Source organism: Homo sapiens, chromosome 17 (assembly GCF_000001405.40).
Source record: "Homo sapiens chromosome 17, GRCh38.p14 Primary Assembly".
NCBI classification, from domain to species: Eukaryota; Metazoa; Chordata; class Mammalia; order Primates; family Hominidae; genus Homo; species Homo sapiens.
Genome location: NC_000017.11, coordinates 68,168,944 through 68,183,220, shown reverse-complemented (window position 1 = coordinate 68,183,220; position 14,277 = coordinate 68,168,944). Strand labels below are relative to the sequence as shown.

The window sequence follows — 14,277 nt, the reverse complement described above, 5'->3', positions numbered from 1 at the left end:
TAGTAGGTGCTCGATTATTGGCACTGGTATTAGGATCAGGGCCAAGAGTAGAACCTTCAACTCCCTGTCAGCTGGGAGAGACTGAGATGGATCACTTATCTGCACATGGAACCCGGCGTTGCTGCTGGTGTGAGCCAAGGGGGCTCAGGGAAGCCTGTTGTTGAGCTGTGTCTGATCTGTGGCTTCCTGTGCCTGGGGCCTGACTCAGCACATTACCTGGTTCCTGAGTCACGGCACAGAGGGGAGTGCTGGGATTACAGGTGTGAGCCACCGTGCCTGGCCACAAACTGCTTTTAAAAGGTTCAGGCCCTTTGCTCCAGCAATTCCACTTCCAAGAATTTATCCTATTGCAATGATTTTCAAACTGTGTTCCCAGTGGAATCCTGGGGTTCCATAGAGTTGCTTTGCTAGTTCTGCAAAACTTTGATTTGAATGTCACTGGTGCCGAGTCTGATTTAAAACTGCAGGCATCTGGCCAGGCACGGTGGCTCATGCCAGTAATCCCAGCACTTTGGGAGGCCGAGGTGGGCGGATCACAAGGTCAGGAGATCGAAACCATCCTGGCTAACACGGTGAAACCCCGTATCTACTAAAAGTACAAAAAATTAGTCAGGCGTGGTGGCGGGCGCCTGTAGTCCCAGCTACTCAGGAGGCTGAGGCAGGAGAATGGCGGGAACCCGGGAGGCAGAGCTTGCAGCGAGCTGAGATCGCGCCACTGCACTCCAGCCTGGGCGACAGAGCGAGACTCCACCTCAAAAAAAAAAAAAAAAAAAAAAAAAAAAAAAGGCAATCATCTGCAACCCCTAACTGGCCTTCTAAATACTGCACATTTGAATTTATAAAATATATTTATGCTAACAGAATGACTTCTTACCTGTTACTTATATGAATCTTACTAAGTTTCATTCAAAGAAGGGTCCTACTTCTAAAAAGAAACAGTATAAAATCATTGTCACAAGAAAATGATCATTTCATACTAGGAAAGTTTGGCTTCAAAAAGATGTACCACACAATGTTTATAGAGTTGGTTCAGTGAACCATGCCATGGCTCACAGGCCAGATCTGGCCACCACCTGTTTTTCTAAATAAAGTCTGATTGAAACACAGCCATGTGCATTCATATATGCATTGTCTGTGGCTGGTTTTTTGCCGTAATGGCAGAGCTCAGTAGTTCTAAGAGAGAACTTGTGATCTGCAAAGGCCAGAACAAATACCACCTAGCTCTTTACAGAAAAAGCATGCTAATTGCTGGTTTATGATGATATAAAAATTGGAACCAACCTAAATGTCCAAGAAAAGGGGATTGATCAAATTACAGCGCACCCCCTTCAGCAAATGGAATGCAAAGCCCTTGTTGAAAAATGCTGGCCGGGCACGGTGGCTCATGCCTGTAATCCCAGCACTTTGGGAGGCTGAGGCAGGTGGATTACCTGAGGTCAGGAGTTTTGAGACCAGCTTGGCCAACATGGCAAAACCCCGACTTTACTAAAAAAAAAAAAAAAAAAAAAAAAAAAAATGCAAAAATTAGCCGTGTGTAGTCGTACACACCTGCAATCCCAGCTACTCAGGAGGCTGAGGCAGGAGAATAACTTGAACCTGGGAGATGGAGGTTGTAGTGAGCCAAGACTGCACCACTGTTCTCCAGCCTGGTAAACAGAGCACTCCTCCACCTAAAAAAAAAAAAAAAAAAAAGTTGCAGTTTAGCAGCTCTTAGGTTTGGCTGCATATTTAAACTACTTGGGGAGTTTTTTTTTTTTTTTTTAATTCCAAACCTCAGGCCACCTCAGATGAATTAAATTTGACTGTAGGTGTGGAACCCAGGCATTGACATTTTTAAAGCTTCCCCAGGGATTCTAATGCAGTGCCACTGTTGTAGAATATTTAATGAGGCCAGATACAGTGGCTCATGCCTCTTATCCCACCACTTTCGGAAGCTGAGGTGGCAGAAGCACCTGTAGTTAGGAGTTTGGGATGAGCCTGGCCAATGTTGTAAAACCCTTGTCTCTAATAAAAATACAAAACTTACCCCGGCGTGGTGGTGGACACCTGTAATCCCAGCTACTTGGAAGGCTGAGGCAGGAAAATCGCTTGAACCCAGTGTGTCTAAAATCGGTGGGTTCTTGGGCTGACTTCAAGAATGAAGCCGCAGACCCTCGCAGGTGGTGTCACAGTTCTTAAAGGGGGCCTGTCCAGAGTTTCTTCTTTCTGATGTTCTGAAGTTCGGATGTACTTGCACTTTTTTCCTTGCGCTGGGTTCATGGTCTCGCTGGCTCAGGAGTGAAACTGCAGACCTTCATGGTGGGTGTTACAGCTCTTAAGACAGTGCCTGTGGAACTGTTAGTTTCTCTTGGTGGTTTTGTGGTTTTGCCAGCTTCAACAGCAAAACCTTAAACCTTCACAGTGAATGTCACAGCTCATAAATGCAGTGAAAATCCAAAGTGATTAGCAGCAAAACTTACTGTAAAAACGGGGGGAAAAACCTTCCCATTATTTGGAAGAGAATCAGAGCGGGTTGTTACGGGTGGCTCCAGCAGCCTGCTTTTATTCTTATCTGGCCCCACCCACATCCTGCTGATTGGTCCATTTTACAGAGAGCCGATTGGTCTATTTTACAGAGAGCTGATTGGTCCGTTTTGACAGGGCACTGATTGGTGTGTTTACAATCCCTGAGCTAGACACGAAAGTTCTCCACGTCCCCATTAGATTAGCTACAGAGTGTCGATTGGTGCATTTACAAACCTTGAGCTAGACACAGGGTGCTGACTGGTGCATTCACAAACTCTGAGCTAGACACAGGGTGTTGATTGGTGTGTTTACAAACCTTGAGCTAGATACAGAGTGCTGAGTGGTGTATTTACAATCCCTTAGCTAGACATAAAGGTTCTCCAAGTCCCCACCAGACTCAGGAACCCAGCTGGCCTCACCCAGTGGGTCTCGCACGGGGGCCACAGGTGGAGCTGCCCGCCAGTCCCGCGGCCTGCCCCCGCACTTCTCAGCCCTTGGGCGATGGATGGGACCGGGCGCCGTGGAGCAGGGGGCCGTGCTCCTCAAGGAGGCTCAGGCGGCGCAGGAGCCCACGGCGGCGGGGCGGGGCAGACTCAGGCATGGCGGGCTGGAAGTCCTGAGCCCTGCCCCGTGGGGAGGCAGCTAAGGCCCGGCCAGAAATCGAGCGCAGCACCCGTGGGCCAGCACTGCTGGGGGACCCGGCGCACCCTCGGTAGCTGCTGGCCTGGGTGCTAAGCCCCTCACTGCCCGGGGCCGGCAGGGCCGGCCAGCCGCTCTGAGTGCGGGGCCCGCCAGGCCCACGCCCACCTGGAACTCTAGCTGGCCCGCAAGCGTGGCGCGCAGCCTCGGTTCCCGCCCGTGCCTCTCCCTCCACACCTCCCCGCAGGCTGAGGGAGCCGGCTCCGGCCTCAGCCATCCCAGGAAGGGGCTCCCACAGTGCAGCGGCGGGCTGAAGGGCTCCTCAAGCACAGCCAGAGTGGGCGACGAGGCCGAGGAGGCGCCAAGAGTGAGCCAGGGCTGCCAGCATGCTGTCACCTCTCACCAGGAGGCGGAGATGGCAGTGAGCCAAGACTGTGCCGTTGCACTCCAGCCTGGGCAACAAGAGTGAAACTCCATCTCAAAAATAATAATAAATAATTAATGGCACAGAAAGATGGCCACTATATATTATTAACTGAAGACGAAGATTTTGACAATGTGTAGCATGTGACTCCTTTCTGTTAAGTTTCTACACACACATGCAAACAGACTCACATGTATGAAAATATATGCTCACACATTGACAGTGGCCATCTGTGTAGGCTGGGACTAGGACAGATTTTGATTTTTTTTCTTTTCGCTTATCTGTATTTTTTAGATGTTCTACAATGAACATGTGATATAATAGGTGCAAAGAATAAAGTTGTCAATGGCTTAAAAAGCCATGTACTTTTTGTTTTAGGCAAAACTACAAAGATGAGCATCTAATCAAACAACACATCCCCAGGTCACTCTGTATGCAGCATGCCCTCAGGCATGCATCCCAACAGAGGCAGATCCCAGGCTCATGGGGACACCAGGTTTTCCTCGGTGAGGAAGTCAGGCACTGCAGCCTCCAAGCCTCAGGCTCCTCAACTGTTAAAAAGGGATCAGTCTGACTGCTCCCACAATTTAAGGCATGCAGGCAGTGTCTGGCACGTAGTATGTGCTCAACAAAGGTTGCTTCTTTCTCCATAAGCAGCTTTTAGCGTCACAGCCTGCAGCCAGTCACTGTTCTTGCCAAAGGAAGATTGGCTTTGCCAAAGCTGGGCCTGCCCAAGTGCATCCGCAGCCACTGGTCTCTGATACCGTCCACCTCGGCTTGGAATCTCTGCTGCTCTTGGAATTTTTCTGTGTTCCCTAGAAGGACCGTGACCTCTCATCAACAAAACCTGTGTCCCCTATCCCCAGAATGGGTTCCATCTGCGTAAAGGAAGTGAGGGCTTTACATCTTCCTGGGGCTGCTCACTTTTATTTATTTATTTAATCTATTTTTTTTTTAAATTTTTTTGGACAGAGTTTTGCTCTGTCTCCCAGGCTAGAGTGCAATAGCGTGATCTCAGCTCACTGCAAGCTCCACCTCCGGGGTTCTCCTGCCTCAGCCTCCCGAGTAGCTGGGACTACAGGCGCCCACCACCACACCTGGCTAATTTTTTGTATTTTTAGTAGACACGGGGTTTCACCGTGTTAGCCAGGATGGTCTCAAACTCCTGACCTTGTGATCCGCCCGCCTCAGCCTCCCAAAGTGCTGGGATTACAGGCATGAGCCACCGTGCCCGGCTGGGGCTGCTCACTTTTAATAAGAACAATAGTGGCTGCCACGTATCAGGAGCCCCTACATGTGCCTGGGCTGACATCCTCTATCTCTCAGCCCCAACTCTGCAGGAATGTGATCGTGTTCCCATTTCCCAGATGAGGCTGACAGAGATGAAAGAACTCCTTGAAGGTCACACAGCTGGTCCATGGCAAGTGCCACTCTGCCTTCTTAGCTATCTTGGTTCCATCTTCTACTTCAAAAGACAGACATTCCCCAGTGGATTCTAACTTGCAGCCAGGTTTGAGAAGCATTGTTATGAAAGTAGTGGTTCTCAACATTGACTATACTGTGGAATCACCTACACTGATTTACAAAAACGCTGGTGGGGGCCGGGCGCGGCAGGTCACACCTGTAATCCCAGCACTTTGGGAGGCCGAGGCGGGTGGATCACCTGAGGTCAGGAGTTTGAGACCACCCTGGCCAACATGGTGAAAACCCGCCTCTACTAAAAATATACAAAACTAGCCAAGTGTGGTGGCACGCGCCTGTAATCCCAGCTACTTGGGAGGCTGAGGCAGGAGAATCGTTTGAACCCAGGAGGCGAAGTTTGCAGTGAGCTGAGATCACGCCATTGCATTCCAGTCTAGGCAACAACAGTGAAATTCCGTCTCAAAAAAAAATGCCGGTGGGGGTTGGTGGTTGAAGACTGGGGAGGGTGGGAAGAGGACAGGAAGAAGGGGATGGGGGCGGCTTCTAAAGTTCTAGATAATGTTCTATTTCTTGATCTGGGTGCTAGCTACTTGGGTGTGTTCATTTTGTGAAAATCATTGAGCTGTACATTTATGATTTATGTACTTTTCTACATGGATGCTATTCTATAGTAAAATTTTAAAGAATAAAAGAAGCTGTCATCAGCCACATCACTGCCTCCTGGGAAAAGGCAGTCCCTGGCCTTGACCCATATTTTGAGGATACTTTTCTCAGCATCAAGCAGCTGTTGGCCTCTGAGTCTGTGCCTGTCCCTGCCAATGAGCAGACTAACCCTACTTTCTTGCCGTTGAGGCTTCTTCCTGGGCTAATGCTGGGTTAGCTACAAAAAAAAAAAAAAAAAAAAAAGGCCAGGTGCAGTGGCTCATTCCTGTAATCCCAGCAGCACTTTGGGAGGCCAAGGTGGGTGGATTGCTTGAATCAAAGAGTTTGAGACCAGCCTGGGCAACATGGTGAAACCTCGACTCCACTAAAAATACAAAAAATTAGCCAGGCATGTTGGTGTGCGCCTATGGTCCCAGCTACTGAGGAGGCTGAGGTGGGAAAATTGCTTGAGTCTGGGAGGTAGAGGTTGCAGTGAGCAGAGATTAAGCCACTACACTCTAGTCTGGGCGACAGAGTGAGACTATCCCCCCACTCCCCCAAACAATACCCACCGTTGCTGTGGTTGCAGGTACTTGGACAGCCAAGCACTGTGGTTAAGCTCCACGGCCCCTCCCTCCCACAGTGGGAGTCATATGACACCAGCCTGCCTAAGCCCCAGGACCTAGGGCAGCAGGGGTGTAAATGGCTACAGCCCAGCACCCTGGGCCTGAACTGTGAGTTCCCTGGTTGACCTCTGGCTTGTGTCATAATTTGAGTCACTGGAGTTATGTTCTCTTTTCTTCAGTTACAGGTTCTGATTTTTAGCTAGGCTCATGAATACGTGAAAAGAAGACAACATTTCCAACCCTCCTTTGCAGCTAGACATGGCCATGTGACTCAGTTCTGGCCAAAAGAATGTAAAGAAAACCATCTGTGCAGTTCTGGGAATTGCTGTTAAAAAAAAAAAAGGAGAGTACTCTTCTCCTTCCCATACTCCTTCCTGATACCTGGAATATAGCATGGAAAGGCTGAGCTCCAGCAGCCATATTGTATCATGGGGTAGAAGTCATGTTTGTGGATGGCAGAGCAATAAGACAGGAGCCTTTGCATCATGGAGCACTCTGTTGGCTCTGGATTGATTCCCTCAGGACAGCTAAACATGAGAGAGAAACTGAGCTTTGAACTTGTTTGAGACAATGATATTTGAGGGTTTTCATTCTTCTCAACCCAACTGAATCCTACCTGATACACAGGGCTTCTGACTTGCTCCTTGGGCCTGAGTTCTCACCTTGGTCACTTGCCCAGTGTAAGGATGGGGGCCCGGCCTGCTCCATCCTGCAACTGGAGTTCTGCCCTCACCCCAGCTCAGTGGCTGGTCCCTGCTACCTGCTGGAACCCCATCTATGCTGCCTCCCCACCCAGCAGGATTCTGTTCCTCGGCTGGACCCTTGCCAGGGTGGAGGGCAGGTCTCCCACTCTGCTTGCTTTCCTGGAGTGAGCTCTCTTGCCTGCCTCCCACTCTCTGCTTCCCACTCATCCCTGTGCCCTTGGCTCCTTCGCTGGGCCCACCAGGATGGCTGCTCTGTGGACATCCCAATGCCTCCAGTATCTTCCCCAGTGGAGAGGTCCAGGAGCAGCCCATTCCTGACATACAGAAACAACACCTCCTTCATTCATTGATTCATTTCAACAGATATTTACCAAGCATTTGTTATCAGCATTGAGAACACCACAGGAAATAAGATCAGGTCGAATGGTGGGCCTAGTGCAAGTGCTTACAGGCACAGGCTTTAGAGTGAGAACATCAGGCCCAGCCAGCAAAGACACTGAAACCCATCACAAGGAATTTTCAGGAGTTTCTTTTAAGGATATGCCCATGACCTGGGTGATGTGCGCAGGCCTGGATGAGTCACTATACCTCCCAGTCCTCAGCCACCCCATCTGCACATGGCGAGGCTGAACTGCATGCTCTTGATGACTCTGTGCAGGTCTGACCTCCTGTGAAGGAAGGAAAGGGCCCAGGGGCCCCTAGGCCTGGTTTTGCCATGCATGGGCTGCTGATGGATTTAGGGCCTTAAAACAACCACTTGATTATTAATTTCTTTAGAGACAGGGTCTCACTCTGTTGCCCAGGCTGGAGTGCAGTGGTGTGACCATAGGTCACTGCAGCCTCAAACTCCTGGCCTCAAGCAAGCCTCCCGCTCAGGCCTCCCAAAGCGCTGGGATGACAGGTATGAGCCACCACACCCAGCCTTCACTTTTTAATTATTTATTATGATTTTGTCGGTTGGCTGGGCCAGCCAATTCTTCTGCTGGTGACAGTTCCTTCAGCCCCTCTGACCTCTGGCCTAACATGGAAGTGGGGATAATCCCACGTACCCAGAATCTTCCCAGAATTGATGAGATAAGACTCCAGGTAATGGAATAGTTAACAAGGAGGAGTTTCTCTTTAGAAGTAATCCAGCTAATAAATGAAGACAGGATGATAGAATATTACCATTTCTGTGCCAGGCGCAGTGGCTCACACCTGTAATCCCAGGACTTTAGGAGGCCAAGGCAGGCAGATCACTTGAGGTCAGGAGTTCGAGAGCAGACTGGCCTACATGGCAAAACCCCAACTCTACTAAAAATACAAAAAAATATATCTGGGCTTGGTGGCGAACACCTAGAATCCCAGCTACTGGGGAGGCTGAGGCAGAAGAATCACTTGAACCCAGGAGGCGGAGGTTGCAGTGAGCCGAGGTCGCGCCATTGCGCTCCAGCCTGGGCAACAAGAGCGAGACTCCGTCTGAAAAAAATAAGCAAATAAAAAAGAATAAAGGGAAAAAGAGAAAGATTAAAGAGGAATCCATGGATTAAAAGAGATTTAAGAGACATCAACTAATCATATTGTGTGCATCTTGTTTGGATCTTGATTTAATAAAAATGTTAGAAAATGCTTTTTGACATAAAATAGTTGGAAATTTGAACACTTACTGAATATATAAAGATATTAAAGAATAATTGTTTTAAGAAAGACAGAGAGAGATAATGTGTAACCAACCCTTAATAAAGAAAAACCAAGCAGCCTATCTATTATTAGAGAAGTCTACAGGGTATGCTGGGAGTCCTAACCCCGGCTCGGCCATCAGTGTGCTGTGTATGTGGCCTTGGCTGAGTCCCTTTCCCTGCCCAGACCTTGATTTTCCCATTTATGAAATGAAGGAAGGGACCCAAGGGGCCTGTTTAACTCTGGCCTGCTTTTGCTTTGTCTTGTCACGGGCAGCCATGGATCCTTTAATTCGGGGCTTGTATCAACACCACCATGCGTCCACAAGAGTATAAAATGGGCAGAAGAGTGCTTGATGGGCACAAGCCCAGAGCTGTTGGTTTCTGCAGAACCCAGAACAGGAAGGGTCACCTCCCTGAGGCATCTGGAGTGGAGAACCAACTGCATAATCCCAGGTAGGCTGAGTCAAAGCCAAGGGGAAGGAGAGAAACTGCTGGAGGACTTCCTCCCACAAAGCATGGGCACGTGTTATCTACTCACCAGGATGCTTCGACCTTGTTCTGATGCATGGGGACTTCTGGTGAGTTCCCTGGGCCTCCATCCTGGTCTGGTCACCTTCTCAGGACTCCAGTTGAGTTGGGCTGTGTTTGACAAACCCTTTTAAGTGAGTGCAAATAAACAATGTCACTGGATTCCTGCATCACTGACCCCTCAGTTCCATGTTGCTGGCCTCTGCCCACCTGCCCTTCAGACACTGTCATCATGAAAGTATCATCCTTAGCATGGAAACTCACACACTGTAAATGCTCCATGTAAAGTGGTGAAGGGGTGGAGAGGGGAACCTCCCTCATGGACCATCACAGATGCTAAACATTCTCTTGAAGCCTGACAAGCTTTCTCCAGAAAGCTGAACTACAATACCAACCATCTGCTACCAACACCAACGAGTGTAACACATGAACTAAATAATCGAGAAGGACACTTCCGTTTAAGTGGGTACTACAGAGCAGTAGCGAGGCCCACGTGTTAGTGTCAAATCTGGATGCAAATCCTTGCACTGCCTCCTACCAGCTCTATGACTTTGGGTGTTTCTTAACCTTTCTGCAGCTTATTTAGTAACAATGCTGTGAAGATGAGATGATTCCCTTCATACAGTGTTTGGCATCATGCCTCACCCACTGGGAGGGTTCAATGTGTGTCCACAATTATTTTTTTTGAGACTGGGTGTCACTCTCACACCCAGGCTGTGGTGCCATCATAGCTCACGGCAGCCTTGAACTCCCAGGCTCAAGGGATCCTCCTCCCTCAAGCTCCTGAGTAGCTGGGACTACAGGCACGCACCACCATGCCCGGCTAATTTTTGTAATTTTTTTTGTAGAGAAGGGGTCTTGCCATGTTGCCCAGGCTGGTCTTGAACTCCTGGGCTCAAGTGATCCGCCCACCTTGGCCTCCCAAAGTGTTGGGATTACAGGCGTAAGCCACCACACCAGATTCTTTAGGCGTTTCTTAAACCTCTCTGCAGTTAATTTAGTAAGAGTGTTGTCAGCCAGGCACGGTGGCTCATGCCTGTAATCCCAGCACTTTGGGAGGCTGAGGCAGGCAGATCACTTGAGGTCAGGAGTTTGAAACTAGCCTGGCCAACATGGTGAAACCCCATCGCTACTAAAAATGGAAAAATTAGCCGGGCGTGTTGGCACTCGCCTGTAATCCCAGCTACTCAGGAGGCTGAGACAGGAGAACTGCTCGAACCTGGGAGGCAGAGGTTGCAGTGAGCTGAGATAGTGCCAACTGCGCTATAGTCTGGGCGACCTCCCTGTGCTCCTGGTGTTGGGGGACCAACAAGATGGAATCAGGAGCCAGAAACCGAGTCCCAAGTCTCAGCTCTAACTGAGTATTATGGGGGTATTAACGCCCACCTCCCAGGATAGGGAGCACAGAGCAGGGAATTCTTAGTATTGAAACCCTGAAACGCCGACTTCCTGTACATGAGTCGCTGCTGTCCTCTAGTGGCCACTGGATAAATTGCACAGCACGCTGGCCTGAAGAAGGGGAAGTGGGAGATGCTTTTCCCCACTTCTGAATCTACCTGATGCTGGGGTTCTCAACCATGCTCCACTCATGACTTCCTTCTGAATCTACCTGATGCTGGGGTTCTCAACCATGCTCCATTCATGACTTCCTTTTCATAAAATGTATTTTGTATAATTACAGTAATTTTTAAACATTTTAGGCAGATTTACTGAGGTACTGACATATAATAAACTGTGCATATACCGAGATTACAATTTGGTATCTGACCCTTGGTATACAGCTCAAATCATCACATTCAAGATAGTGAAGATATCCATCCTCTCAAAAAGTTTCCTCATTACCCCCGGTGATCCTGCTTTCTGCCCTTTCTACTTCCCCATCACCCCCAAACAACTACTGATCTGCTTTCTTTTTCTTTTTTCCTTTTTTTTTTGAGACGGAGTCTCGCTCTGTCACCCAGGCCGGAGTGCAGTGGCGCGATCTTGGCTCACTGCAAACTCTGCCTCCCAGGTTCAAACAATTCTCCTGCCTCAGCCTCCCAAATAGCTGGGACTACAGGTGCCCGACACCATGCCTGGCTAATTTTTGTATTTTTAGTAGAGACTGGGTTTCACCACTTTGGCCAGGCTGGTCTCGAATTCCTGACCTCATGTGATCCGCCTCCCAAAGCACTGGGATTACAGGTGTGAGCCACCATGCCTGACCCTGATCTGCTTTCTGTCATCATAGGTTAGTTTATATTTTCTAGTGCTTTCTAGACATGGAATCATACAGTGTGTACTTTTTTTTGTCAGGCTTCTTTCACTCACCATAATTATTTTGAGATTTATCCATGTTGTTTTGTGTGCCAACAGTTCATTACTTTTTAAATTTTTAATTATAGTTTTTGTGGGTACATTGTAAGCGTATGTATTTCTGGGATACCTGAGATGTTTTGATACAGGAATGCAGTGCATAATAATCACATCATGGAAAATGGGGTTTCCAGACCCTCAAGCATTTATCCTTTGTGTTACAAACAATCCAATTATATACTCTTATTTTTATTTTCATTTATTTATTTATTTTTGAGATGGAGTTTCACTCTTGTTGCCCAGGCTGGAGTGCAGTGGTGCTATCTTGGCTCACTGCAACCTCTGCCTCCTGGGTTCAAGCATTTCTTCTGCCTCGGCCTCCCAAATAGCTGAGATTACAGGCACGTGCCACTAGGCCCAGCTAATTTTGTATTTTTAGTAGAGACAGGGTTTCACCATGTTGGTCAGACTAGTCTCGAATTCCTGACATCAGGTGATCCACCTGCCTCTGTCTCCCAAAGTGCTGGCATTACAGGCGTAAGCCAGCATGCCCAGCCATTAGTTATTTTTAAATATATAATTAAATTATTATTGATTATAGCCACCCTATTGTGCTCTCAAATACTAGGACTTACTCAATCAGGTTTTTTTTTTTTTTTTGGTACCCATTAACCATCCCCACCTCCCCTCATTACTTTTTATTGCTGAGTTCTATTCCACTGTATGAATGTACCACAATTTGTTATTAATTCAGAATGATAGTAATTTAAAAAATCAATATAATGCCCTAACTAGAATATACAACAGAACCTAACTCAAAGGCGAGTTCTGTATAAAGGCTCAGGGAAGCTGGGTGTGATGGCTCACACTTGTAATCCCAGTGCCGAGGCAGGTGGATCACTTGAGTCCAGGAGTTCGAGACTAGCCTGGGCAACAGAGCCCCTCCCTCCTCAACCTCTACAAAAATTTTAAAAAATTAGCCAGGCTTGGTGGTGCAGGTCGGTAGTCCCAGCTACTCAGGAGGCTGAGATAGGTAGATCACTTAAGGCTAGGGATTTGAGGCTTCAGTGAGCCGTGATCGTGCTACCGCACTCCAGCCTGGGCAATAGAGTGAGATTCCCCCCACCAAAAAAAAAAAAAAAAAAAACTCAGGCATGACCATCCTGGAACATACAATGAAACAGTCGGGCACATATATAGTATACATGTACTAGCTACAAGTACAGCCAGGCAGAGGTGGGGCAGATGGGCACATCAACTACTAGCACCATTATGCCGGACATCACACAACAGAGAGTCAGGGCTGGCCTTTGAGCCCAGGTTTGTTTGGCTCTGAAGCCCAGTGGCTGGCCATTCCATGCAGGAGGGTACAGTGCTCTGTGTCCCAAAGCATGGGGACTGGTGTTGAGCAGACAAGATGGACACAGGCAGATTTTAGCTGGATGGAAGGATGCGTTTCTCACAGGGCTGACCATTGGAGTAGCAGTTCCTTTTTTTATTCCATGGATGGTGTGTTTGGGCTGGCTCACCCTGGGATTTCTCCGGTCCAGCCATGACCCAGACTCATTCACTAAGGTCCGTATTTGTCTTTCAAAGGTATGTTTGTATTTCACCCACTTTGCGTTTCATGGTGACCCAATCCAGGGGCTTTTCCCTGGCACTTCCCACAGCAGAGACATGCTCCTTCCTTGCCCGCTACCCTCAGGGGCCAGCAGCAGGAGGTGGCACTTCACAGTCTGGCTGGGGGCCTCCCTCAGGGCAAAATATAATTTTATGGAAGAAAGTGTTTAGCAATGCTTTCTTGAGACAGGATCTCGTTCTGTCACCCAGGGTGGGGAGTGCAGTGGTGCAATTGAGAGGTAACAGCATGCTGGCAGTCCTCACAGCCCTCGCTCGCTCTCGGCGCCTCCTCTGCCTGGGATCCTACTTTGGCGGCACTTGAGGAGCCCTTCAGCCTACCGCTGCACCGTAGGAGCCCCTTTCTGGGCTGGCCAAGGCCGGAGCCCACTCTCTCAGCTTGCAAAGAGGTGTGGAGAGAGAGGCGCGAGCGGGAACCGGGGCTGCGTGCCGCGCTTGCGGGCCAGCTGGAGTTCCGGGTAGGCGTAGGCTTGGCAGCCCCGCACTCAGAGCAGCCGGCCGGCCCTGCCGGCACTGGGCAATGAAGGACTTAGCACCCGGGCCAGCGGCTGCGGAAGGCGTACTAGGTTCCCCAGCAGTGCCAGCCCACCGGCGCTGCGCTCAATTTCTCGCCGGGCCTTAGCTGCCTTCCCTCAAGGCAAGCCTCAGGACTGCAGCCCGCCATGCCTGAGCCTTCCCCCGCCTCCGTAAGTTCCTGTGCAGCTGGAGCCTCCCCGAGGAGCGCCGCCCCCTGCTCCACGGCGCCCAGTCCCATCTACCGCCCGAGGGCTGAGCAATGCGAGCGCATGGCGCAGGACTGGCAGGCAGCTCCACCTGCAACCCCGGTGCAGGATCCACTAGGTGAAGCCAGCTAGGCTTCTAAGTCTGGTAAGGACGTGGAGAGTCTTTATGTCTAGCTCAGAGACTGTAAACACACCAATCAGCATCCTGTGTCTAGCTCAGGGTTTATGAGTGCACCAATCGACACTCTGTATCTAGCTGCTCTGGTGGGGCCTTGGAGAACCTTTATGTCTAGCTCAAGGATTGTAAATACACCAATCAGCACTCTGTATCTAGCGCAAGGTTTGTAAACACACCAATCAGCACCCTGTGTCTAGCTCAAGGTTTGTGAGTGCACCAATCGACACTCTGTATCTAGCTGCTCTGGTGAGGCCTTGGAGACCCTGTGTGTCAAAACTGTATCTAACTAATCT

At 49.3% G+C, this 14,277-nt stretch overlaps 1 long non-coding RNA gene across 4 annotated transcripts in view, besides 2 other annotated features; it reads right to left on the bottom strand.

Moving 5' to 3' along the window:
* LOC105371870 (uncharacterized) overlaps positions 1-14,277 on the bottom strand; it is a 29,274-nt gene that overhangs the window by 11,456 nt on the left and 3,541 nt on the right. The window contains exons 2-3 of one of the 4 annotated variants that reach the window (XR_934937.4): positions 1,549-1,670; positions 875-925 (exon numbers count right to left, since the gene is read on the bottom strand). This is a non-coding gene — a long non-coding RNA (uncharacterized LOC105371870). Of the gene's footprint in view, positions 1-874; positions 1,436-1,548; positions 1,671-2,026; positions 2,518-14,277 lie in introns of those variants that run through there. The other 3 variants (XR_001752982.3, XR_001752983.2, XR_001752981.2) reach the window with 3 other exon arrangements.
* Positions 975-1,104: an enhancer, noted in NCBI's record as "active region_12637". NCBI's record gives its function as "activates an Ori minimal core promoter by ATAC-STARR-seq in GM12878 lymphoblastoid cells {active_cell/tissue: GM12878}" and the evidence as "EXISTENCE:reporter gene assay evidence [ECO:0000049][PMID:35858748]".
* Positions 13,152-13,651: an enhancer, noted in NCBI's record as "H3K4me1 hESC enhancer chr17:66165711-66166210 (GRCh37/hg19 assembly coordinates)". NCBI's record gives its function as "activates a minimal SCP1, AML or CMV promoter by ChIP-STARR-seq in naive H9 embryonic stem cells {active_cell/tissue: H9 hESC(naive)}" and the evidence as "EXISTENCE:reporter gene assay evidence [ECO:0000049][PMID:30033119]".